General features: G+C 50.4%; 1 protein-coding gene across 6 annotated transcripts in view, besides 4 other annotated features; it reads left to right on the forward strand.

Moving 5' to 3' along the window:
* SDK1 (sidekick cell adhesion molecule 1) overlaps positions 1-21118 on the forward strand; it is a 967749-nt gene that overhangs the window by 922573 nt on the left and 24058 nt on the right. For all 6 annotated transcript variants that reach the window (NM_152744.4, XM_047420038.1, XM_047420037.1 and 3 more), the window contains 3 exons: positions 9431-9595; positions 13823-13960; positions 17969-18089. In NM_152744.4, the coding sequence (NP_689957.3) occupies positions 9431-9595; positions 13823-13960; positions 17969-18089 (424 nt within the window). The remainder of the gene's footprint in view (positions 1-9430; positions 9596-13822; positions 13961-17968; positions 18090-21118) is intronic.
* Positions 1988-2489: an enhancer, noted in NCBI's record as "H3K4me1 hESC enhancer chr7:4265444-4265945 (GRCh37/hg19 assembly coordinates)". NCBI's record gives its function as "activates a minimal SCP1, AML or CMV promoter by ChIP-STARR-seq in naive H9 embryonic stem cells {active_cell/tissue: H9 hESC(naive)}" and the evidence as "EXISTENCE:reporter gene assay evidence [ECO:0000049][PMID:30033119]".
* Positions 2490-2990: an enhancer, noted in NCBI's record as "H3K4me1 hESC enhancer chr7:4265946-4266446 (GRCh37/hg19 assembly coordinates)". NCBI's record gives its function as "activates a minimal SCP1, AML or CMV promoter by ChIP-STARR-seq in naive H9 embryonic stem cells {active_cell/tissue: H9 hESC(naive)}" and the evidence as "EXISTENCE:reporter gene assay evidence [ECO:0000049][PMID:30033119]".
* Positions 13363-13864: an enhancer, noted in NCBI's record as "H3K4me1 hESC enhancer chr7:4276819-4277320 (GRCh37/hg19 assembly coordinates)". NCBI's record gives its function as "activates a minimal SCP1, AML or CMV promoter by ChIP-STARR-seq in primed H9 embryonic stem cells {active_cell/tissue: H9 hESC(primed)}" and the evidence as "EXISTENCE:reporter gene assay evidence [ECO:0000049][PMID:30033119]".
* Positions 16229-16730: an enhancer, noted in NCBI's record as "NANOG hESC enhancer chr7:4279685-4280186 (GRCh37/hg19 assembly coordinates)". NCBI's record gives its function as "activates a minimal SCP1, AML or CMV promoter by ChIP-STARR-seq in primed H9 embryonic stem cells {active_cell/tissue: H9 hESC(primed)}" and the evidence as "EXISTENCE:reporter gene assay evidence [ECO:0000049][PMID:30033119]".

Genomic DNA, 21118 nt, shown 5'->3' on the forward strand with positions numbered 1-21118 from the left:
ACACTTCCAGGAGTACTTTCGTATGACTTCCCCGCCATTGCAGATATTTCACAATGCTGTTTAGATGTGTCCTTACGTTGAAATCACAGTCATTTGTAGACTCTCTGCTGGACCTTGTTGGCTAATGAGTCCATGAAGCGTAGACTTTTGAGTTGTGCTGGGATAACGGTGGCCACAGGTCACCTAAACCCAACTCTTCATACGTCTTCCAAGGAACCACGTCGCTAAACAAGTTAGTGCAAAGAAAACCACCCATAATCCATGCCTCCAGCATTACCTGGAGACACGAGTTCCCAGGAACCTGCAGGTGCCTCCAGGTGATCGTAGGCATTACCAGTTCTGTGACTCCGTTCTCACATTGCCATAAAGAAATGTCTGAGACTGAGTAATTTATAAAGAAAAAAAGTTTAGTTGGCTCACAGTTCTGCAGGCTGTACAGGAAGCATGGTGGCTTTGCTTCTGGGGAGGCCCCAGGAAATCATGGGGAGACCCCAGGAAGCTTCCAATCATGGCAGAAAGCCAACAGGGAGCCGGCACGCCACATGGCTGGGGCAGGAGGAAGAGAGTGAGTGGGGAGGTGCCACACGTTTTTAAACAACCAGGTCTCATGAGAACTCACTCCCTATTGTAAGAACAGCACCAAAGGGGTGGTCCTAAAACCATTCATGAGAAACCCACTGCTGTGATCCAAACACCTCCCACCAGGCCCCTCCCCCAACACCGGGGACGATAATTCAACCTGAGATTTGGGTGGGGACACAGAGCCAAACAATATCACCAGTAGAATTGGTTTCCTTTTCAATTTTAGTTTATATATCTACAACCATTCTGAGAAAGTGTCCTTGAGCCAACAGATCGCCACAGGGACCCATGGTGCCGAGAGCAGATTAAAAAGCCTGTAATCCCAGCACTTTGGGAGGCCGAGGTGGGCGGATCACTTGAGGTCAGGAGTTTAAGACCAGCCTGACCAACATGGTGAAACCCAGTCTGTACTACAAATAGAAAAAAATTAGCTGGGTGTGGTGGCATGCACCTATAGTCCCAGCTACTCGGGAAGCTGAGGCAGGAGAATTGCTTGAACCCAGAAGGCAGAGGTTGCAGTGAGCTGAGATGACGCCACTGCACTCTAGCCTGGGCAACAGAGTGAGACTCTGTCTCAAAAAAAAAAAAAAAAAAAAAAAAAAAAAAAAAAAGACACCCGCACTAGAAAACTACAGAAGGGCCTGGCTACGAAACTTCCTCCTCCCTGAACGCCTGCCTCCCTGACTACAGATTAAGGATCCCAGCAGATGGGTGGCTGTCACAGGGTCACAGAAGGAGGCATTCTGGATCTCGACCGCATCCCTGCCCATGTCCCAGTTGTGAGACTGCAGCACAGTTTTGCAGGATGTTACCACTGGGGGACACTGGGTAAAGGATACACAGACTTGCTCTCCGTTGTTTCTTACAACCGCTTGGGACTCTTCAACTACCTCAAAATGATATGTTTAGCGTCAAGTAATCATTGAAAAAGCCACGGTGTCCGTCCTCCCCAGCCTGCTCGGACAAGCACACCAATGTGTCTTTGAGCACTCTTGTGTGGGAGAGCGGCCTGTGGGATGGGGCGGTACCAGCCAGACACGGGTGCCTGGGCTCAGCCTCTTAACGCTGTGAACACATCTCAGCATTTTCCAGGCAGCGATAAGGCATTGGTTCTCAGGCTTGCCGAGAGAGCCCTTGACTTTCTCCTCAGGTTCTCATATGCTGCTCCGCCGGCTGCACGAAGGGAACAGGACGCCTGTTGGTTACTGGTGCGGCCCAGGGAGCCTGGCAGGCCGTGCGGATTAGAAGTAATTGGCGTGTCGGCGAGGGCTTCACACTGGGCCCACGCCTCAGAGTGGCTTGCCTAACATGGAGAAGCTTCTGAAGTCAGCTGAGTCTGAGCTCAGCAGGGTTGGGGCCAGTGTGTGGAAACTGACCCACAGGGGACCAAGATGTGACAACAGACTTATCAAGAAGACCCCAGCTTTTTCGGCGAGGGCTGAAGATCCTGCACTTAATTCTGCTTGGCTGCTCAACATTCAAAAGCAGGTCGCCAACGATCTCCCCTTTCGGATCATGAAGGGAACCCAAGCAGGCCGCGGGACCCGTGTTCTTTCATGGGAAGTTGAGACGCCCCCTCCCTTCAATGATTAAGGCCAGCAGCAGCTCAGGCAAATGAAACGCTTTATGGATTGTCAATATTTAAGCACCTTGCTGGTACCTGAGGGCTTTGGATCTCAGCTGTCATCCATTACAGGCCTCATTACACAAAACATTAAATGCTGTATCATCTCATTTTCCCACCGAAGCTCCCTGGCAAGACGTTCTCCAGGTGGGGTGTGGTTTGCTCCAGGTGCAATGAATGGGCCCCGTTTTGTATTGGGAGGGGCCACACAGGGGCCCTCACCGCTGGGTATCTGGGAGACGGGCACTCGGTGCCAGGCAGCCCCTCTGGCCCACGTGGTCGGCTCGGCCTGATGTCTCTCTATCCAGCTGAGTCTCTACCTTGCCCCTGGGAGACAAGACACTCATCAGCTTTGTTGCTGCTTTGCAGAGGGTGGCCAGCGGGCCTGGGCAGCCCGGGCAGATGGTAGTGGAGCGTGCTGCCCTCCCATCCCCATCCTTCCTTACACCCCCCGCACATTCTACTGCATAGCCCCTGTTGCTGTGGCCATGTGGAGACGCAGAACTGAGCAGCAGCTAATGAAATTAGCACCAGGCTAGAACACAGATCCCCTCTTATTCCTGGAGAGGGCGCTCCATGAGTGTGAGCCCAAGGACACCGCCACCAGCTTCCACCAGCATGGCCTGGCCCACACGTTCCTTTCTCTGGCTGTGCGTAAGTTTCCTCCAAATTGGTGTTGCAAAACTCCCTGGAAGGCACTGGAAACTATGCACTGGACATATGCAGATGATCTATTTACACAGATTATTCTAAGGCATTTTACTGGGTAGATCATGAAGCCTAATTTACATATTTACACAATAGACTGGAATGACGCTAAAGGAACTATAAATATATTTTCCTCTCCAAAGCAGCCATGAAATACATATTTAGAATGTGCCCAATGCAGGCAGATATTGTATTGCATTTTTTTTTTTTTTCTTAAATAATGTGTGTAGCCCAGAGACGAGGGCAGGTGGCTGGAGGACAGGTCCCGTGCCTGATGGGGACACCCCCCAGCCGGAGGCCTGGACTGCTGTCCACTCGTAGTCCCCTGGGGGCTTTCCAGTTCCCTCCCCATTGATTTTGTTCAATTTCAGTCTTTGGCAACGGGAGTTTTCAAGTGAGTAAGGAAGAAAATCAGTATTTCTCTGAAGGTTTGACATCCATAGAAGTTCCAAGTCAGCAGGTTCAGCAAGAGGGGGCTGTTGCCATGGCTCTGATGGTGCCCGGTCCCCTCATGTGCTGCTTGTCTTTCTCATAAGCTGCTTGTCTTTCTCATAAGCGTGTTTCTGACAGCTTGTCAGCCCGGCTTCCCACCCCTTCCTGGGATCAGCCTGCAACACGGGCTTTCTTCGTCATCTTAACATGCAATGCATTTTGCCTCCTGCCTTGAATGAGGATCCGATGGAAGGTAACTGTCTTTTTTTTAAATCAGATGTATTTAGCCTCATGTTTAAGCGCCACCAGCTTCAGTAAAATTTCTAACCTGGATTGGCCATTCATACAAAAAGAAATGGCAGTATTTAAGAAATAAACAACTGACAGGCTTGCATTTGCTCTGAGCTGCAGACTGACAGTCAAGCGGTTGGTTGTGTGAGTGCGTGGAACCAGAAATCTCAGGCAGTGAATGACGGTTTCATTCAGCATGGAGACCCTGTTTAATTGTCCATGAAATCAAACTTTTGTATTGGCATGACGTCGGCCCTAATACCTGCAGCACGCAGCTCCGTTCTGGGCGTTGGAGGGATAAATTGAGTGCAGACCCTTCGACGTGCTGCGCTGGGCTCCAGCTCAATTCAGAAAAGAGGTGATCATGTTTCTGGGTGTATTAGGACATTGTCTGGGAACAGATGTGCCTCCTACCGCTTGGGCGGGGGGAGATGCTGGCACCAGAAGCTAACAGCTGACTCATTCTGTCGGCTGGAGACAAGCATGGATGGATAGCAGAACCTATTTATACAGAAAAGATTTCTTTTTTCAAGGATCTTCAATATTAGCCACTTACTTCCCTTGTTTAAGTGGACAAATCACGCCGTAAAAAATGAAGATGCATAGTTCATATTCTTTAAAGAAAAGCCGCCTCAATGGGAAGCTGAACTGGCTCTTGCTTTTTCCCACTCAGCCTTCCTTCTGAGGTGGACAGGATTGGAGGTTGTGGTGACAGCGTGGCTTCTTCAGGAATATTTTGCAAAGTCTCTTTCTCAGTGGCTTCCCACTTTCTTAGTGGTATTTCTCCAATGGCGTTTCAGTAACAAGAGTCCAGGAAGGTGCTCTTTCGGGCAGCCAGGAATGAAAGACCAAGCACGATAGACAGGTGTGATTTGCAGTCACATCACCATGAGGGCACCTCCGCCCTCCACAGACATGAAGTGGCAGGTCCAGCCCAGAGGTGGACATTACCCACAGGAAGTTCAAACCCTGGGCCTCAGCAGGGGACTTGATGCCTGCATCAGTCATTTTGGGGGATCAGTGATCTGGGGATGTGGCTTTTTAGGGGACATGACTGTCCTCTTCCAGCCGGGCATTGCTTTTCTCTTTTCTTTTTGAAACCGAGTCTCACTCTGTTGCCCAGGCTGGAGTGCAGTGGTGCAATCTCGGCTCACTGCAACCTTCACCTCCCGGGATCAAGCGATTCTCCTGCCTCAGTCTCCTGAGTAGCTGGGATTACAGGAGCGTGCCATCATACCCAGCTAATTTTTGTATTTTTAGTAGAGACGGGGTTTCACCATGTTGATCAGGCTGGTCTTGAACTCGTGACCTCGTGATCTGTCTACCTCGGTCTCCCAAAGTGCTGAGATTACAGGCGGGAGCCACTGCACCCGGCCCTTGCTTTTCCTACAACGGCAACACAGCTCGTTCACTGGGGAAGAGAAACCAGGCTGGCTCTTCCGGACATCCCAGAGAGCTGACCCTAGCCTGGGTGATTGACAAGTGGCTGACTGTGTGCCCAGAATTGCCTTTAAAAAGGATGAGGCCCTGCTGTCCTCTCGAGTGTTGACTGAGATGGAAATCCAGGCACTGGGGACTGTCCAGAACATGGAAAAATTGGTTGCATAAATCTCATTTTTGCTAATAGTTCTGTAATGTTATTTTCCCCCTAATTTGTAGAGATACTTTTCTCCATCATTGATTTATTGAGATATTTAACAGCATAATACAAATGAGAAAAACAATCCACAGTTGAGAAATAGAGTGGACGCCTTACCAGCTGCCAAATTTTTTTCTTACCCACTCGTGATCGTGGTGTAAATATTAGTACGAGATAAGTAGCCCGGTGAATTATAGCTAGAGTGGAAAATATGCTAATTTGGGAAAGGCAGAAGTAAGCAGAATAAAAATGGGAACATTTTCTTCTGTTAATTCAGAAGGAAATTATCTCGGTATGACATTCCCCCTCACCCAACATTTTTGAGTGTAAATGGATTGCTAAATAAATCGTTCTGCGTTAAGATTCTGTATCAATATTTTAAAATGTTATTATGAAAAATGCACACAATTCCTGGAGCTATGACAGAGTGCTTAAAATAAAATGTGGCCTTTAGGTGATGGTACAGGAAGGGAGAATCATTTTTTTTTTCCTCAGGAGCAGGAAAGCATTACAGAAACATTAATGCAAAAGACATTCAGAGAATCCACTCCGGAGGTGTTCAGACCTTCTCAGAACAGTCTGAAGAAATCCTTCACTTTCTTAGTCCCTTAATTTCAATGGCTTTAAGCAACACCCAGTTTATAAGAGTCTGTATTTGGTCTTTAGTGTCTATTACAACATAAAATTGTCTATCTTTTTAGAGGAAAAATACAATTCATTCAATATATAAAGCCCTTAAAATAGAGACTTGCTCACAGTAAGCAGTAAATAAAATAGTGGTGGTTATTATTTATTGAAAGCCTGCTGTACTAGGCCCTGAGAAAGCCCATGGGATACAAAGAGGAATGCAGGGGTTGGGGGTGGGACAGATGGGTGGATGGGTGGAAGGAAGAATGGATGGATAATGGATGGATGGATGGATGGAAGGAGGGGGACCCAGAAGGAAGGAAGGAAGGAAGGAAGGAAGGAAGGAAGGAAGGAAGGGTGGGCAGGCAGATGGATGGGAGGTGGATGAGTGGGTGGCTGGTGGGTGAGTGGATGGATAGATGAATGGAAGGAAGGAAGGAAGGGTGGGTGGGTGGGTGGATTGATGGGTAGGTAGATGAGTAGATGTGTGGATGGATGGACGAATGGATAGATGGATAGGTGGATGGGTGAGTGGGTGGATGAATGGATGAATGGATGGGTGGATGGATGAATGAATTGATGAAGGAAGGATGAATGGATGGATGGATGAATGAATGGATGGATGCCTGGATGGATAGATGGATGGATGGCTAGAGGGAAGGGAAGGGAGGGCAGGGGAGGGAAGGGGAGGAAAGGGAAGGGAAGGGAGGGCACAGGAGGAGAGGGAAGGGGAGTGGAGGGCAGGGGGAAGGAAGGAGGGAGGGAAGGAAGGAAAGAAGGTTGGTTACATGGATGAATGGAAGGAAGGAAGGAAAAATGGATGGATGGATAGAAGGAAGGATGAATGGATGGATAATGAATGGATGGATGGATGATTACTTAGGAAGATGGATCATGGAAAGATGGACAGAAGGATGGATGGATAGATGATAGCTGGAGGGAAGGAAGGAAGAATGGAATGGATGGATGGTTACATGGATGGATGGGTGGATGGATGATGCTAAGCCTGATGGTGTGAACAGCCAGGTAAATGTGCTGATGTGATTTAGAAGCCCATTGGTGGAAGCAGTCATCCCTTCCTGGAACGTGGGGTGGGGTCAAGGTTGACCTCAAAAAGATGAGTCTGAGGGGGCAAAAGGACTCTTGATTTTCCTCCATCCCCTGTCCACAGGCTGTGCGTAAGTCATTAGAACAGCAATCTCATCTGATTCCCTGATGGATGGCACAGGGTCTGATCAAAGAGTAGACCGCATTTGTGGATGAATAAGGGAGTGAGGCAGGGGAGGAGGGGGCAACAGTTCTCCAGGTCCAGAGGAGGCCTGAACAGAGTAAATGCACAAGCCTTCCCTGACCATTCTTAAGCCAAACTCACATACGACAATATAAACCACATACAACCAGCATAAACTACATACAGCCAGCAATCTGTGTGTGAACCTCAGCATCCTAGGAGAAAGAAGGTAGGCTTAGGCTCTGGCTTGCCATTCTGACATTATTAGTGGTGATGAGTGTCTTGGTGAGAAATGGCTGTAAATGAGAATATTTAGAAATAATGGCCAGGCATAGTGGCTCATGCCTATAATTCCAGCACTTTGAGAGGCCAAGGCAGGCAGATGGCTTGAGCTCGGCAGTTCGAGCCCAGCCTGGGCAACACAGGGAGACCCTGTCACTACAAAAAAAAAAAAAAATTAACAACTTAGCCAGGCGTGGTGGCGCATGCCTGTAGACCCAGCTATCCAGGAGACTGAGGCAGGAGGATAACTTGAGTCCAGTAGTTTGAGGCTGCAGTGAGCTATGATTGCACCACTGCACTCCAGCCTGTGTGGACAGAGGAGGGCCCGGTCTCAAAAAAAAAAAAGAAAGGAAGAAGAAAGAAAGAGCAAGAGAGAAAGCAATCAGAGAGGGAGGGAGGGAGGGAAGATCAGTATTATACTACCTTTCTGCCGGTGGAGAGATTTGTACCTTTAAAATCTCATTCACGTCTATTCCTCATTAACCTGTGACTGTAAGGACTTAGTCGGTGCACATTCTAAATCCTCTGCAAATACAGACAGATACAATAGCAATTTTCTGCCTATTTACTGTTGGGCTAATCCATCTGAGTGTACCTGGTGATTCCGGGTGGGTGATAAGGTTGGTTTCCGGAGCAGTCTCAGTGCCCATAAAGTAGTCAGCACGGGTACACACATATCCAAATGGGTTTTCCCTCACCAGATTCCCTGCTTTGTAAAAGATCTCATAGCTGCACCTAGAAAAGCAAATACAGTTCATGAAGGATTGCTACTTCAAATGAACATTTTGGCCTCTGAGCCTACTTTTTTTTTTTTTTTTTTTTTAACCAAACAGCCTCCTTAGAATTGAATTTATACAAACACACGTACAGCACTTACTATGTGTGAGGCACTGTCCTAAGCACTTTATAAATATTAACTTACTTAATCCTCAAAGCAAATCTATGATGAAGATGCCTTTGTTATCACCATTCTACAGACAAGGGTCAGAGAGGTTCCGTTCTTTGTCTAAAGCCACACAGCTAATTGAATTGGTGGGGCCAGGCTTTGCAAAGAGGCTGTCTAGCTCCAGGCTCCAGCACCCCTTTCAGCCCTGATGCTATAGTGTCATAAGTTTTTTTCTTTCTTTTTTTTTTTCCTTTTTTCTTTTTTTCTTTTCTTTTCTTTTCTTTCTTTTTTTTTTTTTTTTGTTATAATGTGAAGTCATAAAAATTGCAAAGTTCTTTGTTTGTTTTTTGAGATAGAGTCTCACTCTGTTACCCAGGCTGTAGTGCAATGGCACAATCTCAGCTCAGCTCACTGCAACCTCAACCTCCCAGGCTCAAGCAATCCTCCTGCTTCAGCCTCTTGAGTAGTAGTAGGGACCACAGGTGCATGCCACCATGCCTGGCTAATTTTTAAAATTGTGCATATATATGTTTCCCTGTGTTGCCCAGGCTGGTCTCCAGCTCTGGGCTCAAGCAGTCCTGTAACCGCAGCCTCTCAAAGTACTGGGATAACAGGCATGAGCCACCATGCCTGGCTCATCGTGATTCTTTACAACAAATCTCACTGATCACATTTCTTTTGCTCTGTGGCTGGAGAGATGCCTCAGAACCCAAGTCATGTGCCTCTAACATCCTCTCTATGTCTGATTTTAATTTTAAATTTATTAATGGCTTTAATTTTGAGTTTATTCATGTTTTCTTATATGTGAGGTTTATAATAAATCATACATACATATATTTACTGTGGGGAGATATGCATAACCTAACGTTTCCCACTATGACCATTTCAAGTGTCCAGTTCAGTAGCATTGAGCACGTTGTTCTACAATCATCACACCATTCATCTCCAGAACGCTCTTCGACTTGCGAAACTGAGACTCCGTCCCCATTCAGCACTCACTCCGCATCCAGTGCCCCTGATGCCTCATCCAGGGCTGCTGCAAGCCGACCCACCAGGCAGGTGCATGGGGCTCGCATCTGGGACTTCGCACTTCTAACCTCTGCTCTCGCCTCCCCATCCCTCTTGCAGATGAAGGCTTATGGGACATGTTTGTGAAGGACATCCCGCGGAGCGCCACATCCTACACCCTCAGCCTGGATAAGCTCCGGCAAGGAGTGACTTACGAGTTCCGGGTGGTGGCTGTGAATGAGGCGGGCTACGGGGAGCCCAGCAACCCCTCCACGGCTGTGTCAGGTAGGCCCTCCCAGGGAGGTCTGTCTTCTTCTGGAGGACTAGAGGGAGAAATGGGGTCGAGGGGGACCCAGGGAGGTCTGTCTTCTCCTGAAGGGTGGGAGGGAGAAATGGGGTCGAGGGGGACCCAGGGAGGTCTGTCTTCTCCTGAAGGATGGGAGGGAGAAATGGGGTCGAGGGGGACCCTGGGAGGTCTGTCTTCTCCTGAAGGACGGGAGAGAGAAATGAAGTCAAGCGGGACGAAAGGGACACACATCTGCTGCTGTAGGTGTCTCCAGCTTAGTTGAGGTTCTGCCCAGGGAACATGTGGGTGGGGAGAGCAGTGCCAGTCTCCGGGTGCCTCCCCAGTGCCACCCATCCTCCTGGGCTGCTCCCTGCTTCCCTCTGGCAGGACCCCAGGCCCCAGAGCCTCCCCCAGCACCACCAGCAAGGCCCCTTATGGGCTTTGTGTCCACGCTGTGCACCGGCAATTCCTAATGTGTTTCCTCATAGTTTTAAAAATCAGAGACACATGGAAGTGTCAGAGGTGTGAGCATGAGCCACGTGGTGTCCCCTCCGCAACAAAATCATTCGCAAGGAAAGCAGAGCCCCGATCCCCTGTGTTAGCTGACGCATCCTTGCCGAGGAGCATGTGTGATTTTGGAGGGGCAAGAACCACCCCGGCAGCTATGGGGGAGCCCACGAGTGCCTGACAAGAGGTCACGTCTTCCTGGGACCTCCCAGAAAGCCAGCGGAGGGGCCGGGGATAGTAGCTGCTCTGGGCTCAAGGTGAGCAGTATTGCCGTCCCTGAGGATGGCGTGCAGGTGAAGGTACTGCCGATCCCAGGCTGGGCATTTCTTCACGTGCACACCTTCGCTGTGAGGTACCGCAGGCTCCAGAGGCCACCCTGGGTCCAGGTCCAGGTCTGCTCTCAGGGGAGTGGCAGAGAAGGCCAGGGCAGGGCTTCCTCCCCGAGAGCACCCGTGTTAGATGACAGACATGTCTGCAGTCAGCAGTCATGGCAGGGGTTATGACACACAGGGTGGGGGCTGTGACCTCGCCTGGGAATCAGGAAGGTGCCCAAAGCCTACCACAGGGGAAGGGAAACCTGCAGGAGGCAGAAGGTGGCGGAGAAAAAGTCCTGGTCACTGAAGAGCCGTGGGTGGGGGAGCTGGAGAGGGAGGGCCGGCAAAGCTGGTCCCTGGTTGTGGCCCCCCAGCCCCCCATGTGCCTGTGAGGGACTCAACCCTGGCCGCACCTTAGGGTTGCTTGAGAAAGTTAAACACACACCCTCGCTGGCCCCTCACCCCAGACAGTGACTTCCGTGGCTCCAGGCGTGACTTTCTTTACCCCGCGATGATTCTATCGTGCAGACCGGCTGCAAGCCAGGGCGCTGGGGGGTTCAGAGAGGGATGGGCTGTGTTTGAGGAGAGGGGATCTCAGCAGCATGAAGGGCAGGGAGGCCTCGGCGTTGGGGCAGCAGAGCCTCAGCCAGAAGCCCCAGGTAGGGCCAGCTCTGTTGGTCCTCTTCCTGGGATTAGGAAGAAGCTGTTCCTCTCCTCTGCGTTAGAGCTGCTTGAGCTACTGACTGCACTTGTTGAAATTGAACTTAACCTTCGTCCTTTATGTGCTATGAGTTTGGAGGAACGACCCTGTGCTCGTCTGTGGGTGAGCGTGGGCCCTAAGCCTGGTACCCTGGCCTGGGAACATCCTTGAATTCCGGGGTTGCTCTGTGAGAGGGGCTGTGAGGAAGGGACCCAGAGGACCACCTGATTTTATTTTTTTTGAGATGGAGTCTCACTCTGTTGCCCAGGCTGGAGTGCAGTGGCGTGATCTTAGCTCACTGCAACCTCCGTCTCCCGGGTTCAAGGGATTCTCCTGCCTCAGCTCGCAAGCAGCTGAGATTACAAGCATGTGCCACCACGCCCGGCTAATTTTTGTATTTTTAGTAGATACAGGGTTTCACCCTGTTGGCCAGGCTGGTCTCGAACTCCTGACCTCAAGTGATCCGCCTGCCTTGGCCTCCCAAAGTGCTGGGATTATAGGAGTGAGTCACGGCGCCCAGCTGACCACTTGATTTTTTAATGAGTAAGATTTAGAAAAAGCACAGATTTCTCATTTCCCTAATTTTAATTATGAATATTTTAAATGTACCCCAAAGTATAGAGAATGAGGAACCCTCAGCACCCCTCATCCTAATTCAGAGATCCAAGATTTACTGCCTGAGTTTTATCTGTGGAAAATTGGTACAGAGCAATTACACATGCACAGAAAGCCGGTTCCTCATGCGGAACGTGCACTTTGACCCCACTTCCCAGGGCCTGTGGTTCAGGCCTCTCTGAAACTCCATCAGACGCAGAGCTGGCCTTGCCATGAGCTGGACCGCACTGAGCTCATCAGTCCTTCAGGGAAGCCAGCAACCATCACCTGCTGGCGTCAGGACCGGGCCAGGCCCGCAGCCAGGGTGTCCTGCCCCGTATGAGAGTCCTCCAGGACAGCCCGGCCTTCCTTTCCTACCAGGTGCTGGGGTCAGGCCCACTCCGGGCCAGTTGCCCGGTGGTGTAAGTGTGGCATGCGTCAGACTTGCCGCATGGAGTACCAAATGCGCAGCCCACAAACCTACTTCTGTCTTTTGGATTTAAAGCACCGTCACCTCCTAAGGAGCCCTGTGAACCTGCATTAGCCAAAGCCGATTCCCTGTTCTTCTTCCCGGTGTGCACACATCCCCTATTCGTGAGATATAGGATAGAAGCTTCGGGTGGCTGTGTTTGGAAGGGTTCTGGCTGCCGTGAGCCAATGCCTGGGCTTTGCCTGTGAGAGGCTTTCTGTTCTGGGGGGCTTCCAGTGCCACAGAACCTACTCCCCTTCCAGGCCCATGGAAGGCCCTGAATGGGACGCCGGGACCACCCAGCACCCATCAAGATACAATTTCCCGCTTTTCTGTTCTGAGCGAGCAGAACGAGACAGAAGGAAGAAGAGCGTCCTTCAAAGCCGCCTTTACATGCATTTTTTTCTATTGATTTCTCAAAAACACATCTAAAGACAGGGCCAGTCGTTCAGCTTGGTTTTGCTAGAGGCAGAAAATAAATAAAACACAGCCCCAGGCTTTAGGGGTCTGTGGCCTGTGGAGGGGCCAACAGGTAGAGAAGCAAATACACACAGTGCGTGTTTGCGGCGGGGGCTTCCATAGACGTGCAGACGGCAGGTCCTGGGGTGCTTCGTGGGCTCAGGGTTCACCCCGTGGCTGTTGGGAACCACTGAGGATTTTAGGGGGGACAACTGATTTCTATCGGAGGAAGACCTCTCTTGGGTGATGTAAAGGATGGATCTGAGCAAGACAGGAGGAGGCGTAACAGGTGGAATGTGAGTGCTGTGCGCAGGCAGGAGGTGGTGACGGAGAAGGCAGGGGACCTGGAGCTGTTTTGGGGGGTGTCCCAGCACCAGGAGAGAGAAGGACGTCTAGGCGCTTTGTTCCATCCTCACTTTAACCCACACAACGTTTTTGTTTGCTGCCTTGCTTGTTTTGTGGAGACAGGGTCTTGTTCTGTCACCCAGGCTGGAGTGCAGTGCTGTGATCGTGGCTCACTACAGCCTCGACCTCCTGGGCTCAAGTGATCCTCCCGCCTCAGCCTCCTGAGTAGCTGGGACTACAGGTGTGCCACCATACCTTGTTTTGTAGAGAAAGGGGTCTTGCTATGTTGCCCAGGCTGGTCTTGAACTCCTGGGCTTAAGCCATCCTCCCACCTCAGCCTTCCACAGTGCTGGGACTTCAGGCACACGCCTCTGTGCCTGGCTGTTTTTTTGTTTTGTTTTGTTTTGTTTGTTTTTTGTTTTTTTAGAGATGGGATCTCACTACATTGCACTGGATCAGGCAGTGTTTTTAAACAGATGAAATTAAGAGAAAGCAAGCAGGAAGGGCGGTTTTGATGGGCAAGGTCAGGGCAAGGACAAAGATACTGAAGTCTCCAGGGCAGGGGGCAGCTTGGAGGACAGAGGAGCCCTGAGCCTGATCCCACAGAAAAGGTGGCAAATGGGGGCTGTTGAATTCCCAAAGCCTGCTGAGGACCATGGGAGCCTCCTGAGCTTGTCCCATGGGAAAAGTCCACCCGCCCGGCTGGACATTGGTTTCATCTCACCTGTAACTGGGAGTTATCTACCCCAGCCTTCCCTGCCAACCACCTGACTCGCGGGAGGTGACTGCAGCTGGAGCGTCTGCCCCATGTCATTGTGTGTCCGTGTCTTTTCCACAGCTCAAGTGGAAGCCCCATTCTACGAGGAGTGGTGGTTCCTCCTGGTGATGGCTCTGTCCAGCCTGATCGTCATCCTGCTGGTGGTGTTCGCCCTCGTCCTGCACGGGCAGAATAAGAAGTATAAGAACTGCAGCACAGGTGCAGGTCCAGCCCCTTCCTCGCGTGTCCCACGATGCCACTCAGCCAAAACATAGCGTTCGTTCTCTCGTGGATCTGCCGGGCCCGTGTCTGCTTTTCCATTTCATTTGCTTGTAGGTGCTGAGAGAAATGCAATAGGTTTTCTTTCTGGGGGCAGCCAGGCACAGTGCAGCAAACGCTCTATGCCTCGGGACCCAGATGCTGACCCTGCCTGCCCTCAGATTAACTATGTGTCTTGGATAAGGGCGTATGAGTCATCCAGCCTCAGAGATCCCCACTCTGTACCTTTGTTCAAATGCAATTGCTTTTTTTTTTTTTACAGTCTCACTCTGTCACCCAGGTTGGAGTGCACTGGCACAATCTCGGCTCACAGCAACCTCTGTCTCCTGCATTCAAGTGATTCTCCTGCCTCAGCCTCCTGAGTAGCTGGGATTACAGGCGCCTGCCACTACGCCCGGCTAATTTTTGTATTTTTAGTAGAGGCGGGGTTTCACCATGTTGGCCAGGCTGGTCTCGAAATCCTGACCTCAGGTGATCTGCCCGCCTCAGCCTCCCAAAGTGTTGGGATTACAGACGTGAGCCACGGTGCCCAACCTAATCACATTTTTTAATAGTATTAGAAAGTGAGGTGTGTCTGGGAATGGTGGCTTATGCCTGTAATCCTAGTGATTTTGGAGGCTAAGGCTGAGGATCACCTGAGCCTAGGAGATCCAGGTTGCAGTAAGCCATGATCACACCACTGTACTCCAGCCTGGACAACAAAGCGAGATCCTGTCTCTTTTTTTTTTTTAATTTGAGATGGAGTTTCACTCTTGTTGCCATGGTGCAGTCTAGGCTTACTGCAACCTCCACCTCCTGGGTTCAAGCAATTCGCCTGCCTCAGCCTCCCCAGTAGCTAGGATTACAGGCATGCATCTCCACGCCCGGCTAATTTTGTATTTTTAATATGGATGGGGTTTCTCCATGTTGGTCAGGCTGGTCTCGAACACCTCACCTCAGGTGATCCACCTGCCTCAGCCTCCCAAAGTACTGGGATTACAGGTGTGAGCCACCGCGCCCTGCCGAGATCCTGTCTCTTACAAAAAAAAAAAGTATAGAGCATTAAACAGGTGGCATATTGTACTATGCAATATTATAAACACAGTGACCTGGGGCACTGCTCAGACGTTGATGTTTTGCTGTGGCTCAGAGACTGTCACAGAAGCATCTCCATGGCATAGCTCTTCTCACCCACTGCAGCTTGAACCTTGCCTGTGTCCGTGGTCTAGCTCTGAGCCGTCTGAGGGCCAGGTCACTACTGTGTTTCCAGCAGAAACTCCACACCAGGCATAGAGCAAGCATTCAGTCAATAAGCATTTATTGCCGAATGACCCACTATCATTAGAGAAAGGAGCAAATGAACGTAGGGTAAAGCCAGCCACAGAGAGCACAGACCTTGTGACTCCATTTACATGAAGGCCAGGAACACCCACAGTGAATGGAAGTTTCCAGAAGGCAGAATCCTGCTTGCCTGTTGGTGGAGAGGTATAAACAGGGAAGATGCATGAGAGCACCTCACAGGTGCTAAATGTGCTCTGTCTCTCTACGTGGACGGTAGTTACATTCACAATCATAAAGCATCATTCTGGACACTTAAGATTAGCATAGCTTGTGCATTTGATTATCGTCAATTTTAAAAACCTCATAATTATCAATGAGACCACTTCTCTGGATAACCAGAATGTAACTGACTGCTAGACCGCAGCCTGTTTTTTGTTTTTTAAATAGACGGGTTTCACCATGTTGGCCAGGCTGGTCTCGAACTCCAGGGCTACGGTGATCCTCCCACCTCAGCCTCCCAAAGTGCTGGGATTACAGGAGTGAGCCACGCACGGCGCCCGGCCTATGGCCTGTTTTGATCCTACGGAGCATCCACCAGAGCTGTAGCTGAGCCCAGGAATGTGGTCACTTCTGTGATATCACCACAACCGCTGGGCCAGACCTCTTCCTGAGCTCAGCTCATTTGTTGGAGGTTTTCCCATCAACTGGGTCTTCTCTTTTTGGAAAGGCAGATCCCTGATGAGCTGTTCTTAAAAAGAGGAGCTGGCTACATTAGCCCCCTGAGCCAAGGAGCCAGGCAGAGTAGGTTCCTGACCCCGACCACAAGTCCTACCATCCTTGTGCCAAAGGGGTTAAAAAAACCAGTCACCTAAAATGCCTCCTTATTTGCTTCTATAATGTTAAGCAATTCATCCTTCAAAGAAAGGATTTATTTTTTTCTGTATAAATTCACTTCTAACAAGTGTTCGTAAATCAGATTTTATTCCTGAGGGATTTACAGTGTATGAATGGCGTGTCATTTTCCTGAGTTAATGCTATTACAGAATCCTGTGTCTGGTGCATAGAAAAATCTCCCTGCTTTTCACTGTCCTCCTCCATCTGGAAAACAGACTTGAAAAGGCAGATCGGACCTGCAGCTTCCGATGCTCAGCCGCACCCTGGAGTGTTAATTTAACATCATAATTGAAGCCGGGAAAAAATAACACTTATCTACCAGAATGTCTCCCGTCCTGCCCAGGAGACATTGCAGAACTTAAACCTCTGTTGTGATGGCCTCACTCGACACCCCTCCCTGCGTGCACTCCTTATCCTCCCATCCTCGTCTGAATTCCTTTCTGATCTTGGTTTCCACCTGCTCACCTCCCATCATCCCAAATCCCCTCTCCCAGGCAAGCCCATCTTTCATTTTCTGCTCTGTGTTCTTCCGTTAAACACAGAGCATTAAGGTTTAAAGCACGTCAAAGGGGGGCCAGGTCCCAGCAGAGAGGAGCCTCTTGGGGTTTAGAAATGCCAACGCACTTAGCAAATACCTGCCAAGCCCCTGGTATGTGTGTAGGCGCTGTCCTGGGGGCTGGCGGGACACTGGGGAGTGTGATGGACTTAAGTCTGTACCTCAAAGAGCAAATATGTACATGGGCCTGAGAAACAGAGGTCACTTTATGTGGTCAGGGAGGTCGCCTCTGGTCTCAGGGCGTTTGAGCTGTGATCTGCAGGAAGGGGAGAGAAACCCGGGAAATACTGGGAGAAGGAGCTTCCAGCAAGAGGGAGAGCCCCAGGGGGAGAAACCCGTGTTAGGGAGGGGCTGAGGGCTGGAAGATGACGCGGGGGTTTGCAGGGTGGACAGACCAGGCCAAGCTTGGGGGCAGTTTGGAGGCCTTGGTCTTTCCTGCAGAATGAGCCGGGAAAACCCAGTGCAATTATTTTTTATGTTGTTCGGTTTTTCAGAACTTTATTTTTATTCATTTGATCTGTTAATATATTTTAGAATGTGTTTTGCTATGTATTTGTAAATTTACTCTTTTTTGAAGTGTGCGGTTCAGTGGTGAACGCACAGGTACGTGCAGTCATGACCACAGTCAGTTCTAGAACGTTCGTGTCACCTCAAAAGGAAGCTCTGTACCCTTTCTTTAGCCGTCACACTCCCACACATTTATCTTTACTTCCTGTTTTGTTAAATGAGTGTGAGTTTTTATTTTGAAATTTATTAAATATTTAATTTCCCGGAATTTTTAGAAGTGTATGCATTCTTGGCCAGGTGCAGTGGCTCACGCTTGCCATCCCAGCACTTTGAGAGGCCGAGGTGGAAGGATCACTTGAGCCCAGGAACTCGAAACCAGCCTGGGCAACGTAGCGAGACCCCATCTCTACCAAAACAAACAAACAAAAAATCAAAAAAAGTTTATGCATTCTGAGTCTATTTTCATAAAACACTGGCAAGAATACTGGTATTTTGGGATCAGACAGAACAAATATGAAAATGCTAATATTGTCACTTTGCTCCAACACTGTGATCAGTACCTAGCTCTTCTCCCCAGCTCAGCCCTAAGCACAGCTGAAGCAGGTATCCTCAGCTCTGGGCTCTGCGTGCAGCAGGACTCAGGAGCTGCCCCGCTGGCCAGCTCTGGCTTGGCGTGGCTGCGGTGGCCACACCAGTAACACGTCTGTTCTCACTCTCCTGCTGGGCTTTAGGAAAGGGGATCTCCACCATGGAGGAGTCTGTGACCCTGGACAACGGAGGATTTGCTGCCCTGGAGCTCAGCAGCCGCCACCTCAATGTCAAGAGCACCTTCTCCAAGAAGAACGGGACCAGGTAGGCAGGCAGTGCTGTGCTGCGCCCACCTGGGGATCTGAGCTGCCAGGGCTGGGGTGGCAGCCCACGCCCACTGGCACCTCCTGCATCCCGCCCTGTGGTTCCAGGAAGCAAAACCCAACCCACCGCCAAGTGCGCTCCCAAACCACCAGGGGCAGCCCTGAGTCTAGGAGGGACGGGGTCGGCAGAGCGGCTGGAAATATTTTCAGGACATCTCCGGAGATTTAGAAAGAGGGTCTCAGGTGTGTGGGAAGGGCCTGGAACACCCAGGGGCTGCCAGGCTGGCCTTCTGTGTCAATCGCATGCACCTTGGATCTGGGCGTTCCTAGTTCATGGAGGTGTCACCTGGGCTGCCACAGGCCCGACCAGGTGTCCTCGCAAGCAAGCCTGGTGCTTGTTGCTGATTTCATTGCTCTGTGTATTCCAAAGTTTTCCTGTGCCGATACACATTGCCATTCCATACACGGATTGAGTGCAGGCGAGAAGGATTTTCATCACCATAGCCTCCTTAGCTTATAATCCTTTTCCTAAATCCAGCAGGAAGCAGGGTTTCCCAAACAAGAGAGGGGTTGACCTGGGTTTGCCTTTTTGATGTGCAGAGCGCCATCCTCTGATTTGAGTACCCTTGACCAAGGAGAAGGGCCAGGAATGGGGAGGGGTCTTGAGCGTCTGGAAGGAAAAACCCAAACACCTGAGGACGCTTCGTCTGGAGAACAGACAGCTCCGGGCTTTCCCAGGGTGCCCCAGCATCGGGGTGGAGGAGGCTTCTCTCCCTCAGCCAGACTCACCTTGGATTAGACTCAGCTGCAAGGGTGTGGAAATCACACATCATCCAGACCCAGACAGACCCCAGGGTTTCCTCTTCCCTTTACTGTTTACAAAGCTGCAGGGGCCAGCAGTGTTTGGAGATTCCCTGGGCCGCCCCCGCCCTCCACTGAATTTGGGAATCTTAGATCACTCGGGTGGCGCCGAGGCACGGGTGGGCCTTCTCCCAGCCACTGACGCTCTGCCAGCCCCACAGGTGCCAGTCCAAAGCACCGCAGGCCGCCACCCCACGAGGCCTTCCCAAGGGCTGGAGGTGGATGCTGGTGGTGACATCTGGTCACACCTTTCATTTCATTTGTCTACTGGGAGGCAAGTTTTTCCTGCCGTGTAATAGAAACATGAAAAAGCAACCACATGTAGTTTCAAGGCCAGGAGGAACTTGTCACAGAGAATTTTAAGATATTACATGCCCTGCTTCCTTGCTGCAACTCTGTCTTCTGAGTTCTGAGAAGAGACACAGCCTTGAAGCACATTGCCCAAGAATAGACAGTCGTTCAGTTTGTTAAGTCCATCTGCTTCCTAGGAAAGAGAAACATCATTTGATGGTGAGGTTGGAGGTTCTCAGCCCACAAAGACCCAAGGACAAAATAAAATTAAGATGGAAAAGAAAATGGACCCTTCCCTTAGGTTTTTAAATAAGCCATCACCTTTTCAGTCCTAGCAATAGGACCCTGTATTCATCTGTCCTCACGCTGCTAATAAAGACATACCCAAGACTGGGTAGTTTATACAGGAAAGAGGTTTAATGGACTCACAGTTCCACATGGCTGGGGAGACCTCACAATCATGGCGGAAGGCAAGGAGGAGCAAAGTCACGTCTTACGTGGTGGCAGGCAAAGAGAGAGTTTGTGTAGGGAAACTCCCCTTTATAAAACCATCAGATCGTGTGAGACTTATTCACTCTCACGAGAACAGCACGGGAAAGACCTGCCCCCATGATTCAAGTACCTCCCACCAGGTCCCTCCCACGTCACATGGGAATGATGGGAGCCACAACTCAAGATGAGATTTGGGTGGGGACACAGCCAAACCATATCAGACCCCACATGTGATTGAAGGAAAGGATTCTCTGCTGAGAGGGGAAGGGTCTGGGCAGGGACACCTGAGATTGGTCCTGTAGCATCATCCCCAAAATATCTTAGAAATACGGGCACAGTTGATTTATGTCTCCCCCGTGCACGTTTGTGCTTCCAATTTCTTTTTGGGGAAGACACCATTTTAGCTCCTTAGATAAAAAGATTTACCCAAATGTTTAGATAAGAAATGGCATCTTTCCCAAAGTAAATTACCTTTGAGATAGAGAAAGAAAGGCCCTTGAGCCTTCACTGGGCCTTTCCAGGAGAAACTGAGGCACACCCTGGGGGAGACAACACCCACGACACAAAACCAGAGGTCTCCATCCCCTCCAGCCTTCCCAGCAGAGTCTCCACCCAAGGCCTGGTTTCCTGGCCTGTAGCCTCTCCTTGATCACCCAGTGTTACTTCTCCCATTGAGGGATGAGAAGACACTTCCTCTGTAGCTGCCACTCAGTTCTGCACTCACTCCTCGCAGCATGAGGGAGGGCTTGCTGGGTTGCTGGGGGTCCTGGACATGGTCCCTTTGAGCACACAGCTGCCTGTCTGACTGCCCACAGGCTGCTCTCACTATCGAGTCCCTGCACACCCTTCGGAGGACTAAGGAGCACTCAGTCCTGCCTGATGTGAAAATTCAGCAATGTTGTACTCAGAGTTTTTCCCCAAGTTCTGAGTTCTCCATCTGAAAAACAGAAGCTGGGCTTTTACTCAGCTCAGATAGTCACCAGGAAGTGGGGAGCTGAAGAGGGTACTCATTTTCTATCGCTGCATGGCAAATGATCACAAGTTCAGCAGCTTAAACCAACACCCATTTAGCACCACGCGGTCTCCCTGGGGCAGGAGTCTGGGCACAGCTCAGCTGGGTCCTCTGCTCAGGGCCTTGCATGGGTGTAATCCAGGTGTAGATGGGCTGTGTTCTCATCTGGAGGCTCAACTGGGCAAGAATCTTCTTCCAAGCTCATTCAGCCTGCTGGCAGCATGCATTTCCTTGTGGCCGCATGACTGAGGGCCCCAGCCTCTTCTTGGCCCTCCTCTGGAGGCCGCCCTCATGTCCTGGAGGCCGCTCATGGTCCCCTGCCATGGGGTCCTCTCCAGGGGCTGTTCACAACATACTGTTGGCTTCTGTGAGGC

The sequence above is a fragment of the Homo sapiens genome, chromosome 7 (assembly GCF_000001405.40).
Source record: "Homo sapiens chromosome 7, GRCh38.p14 Primary Assembly".
NCBI classification, from domain to species: domain Eukaryota; kingdom Metazoa; phylum Chordata; class Mammalia; order Primates; family Hominidae; genus Homo; species Homo sapiens.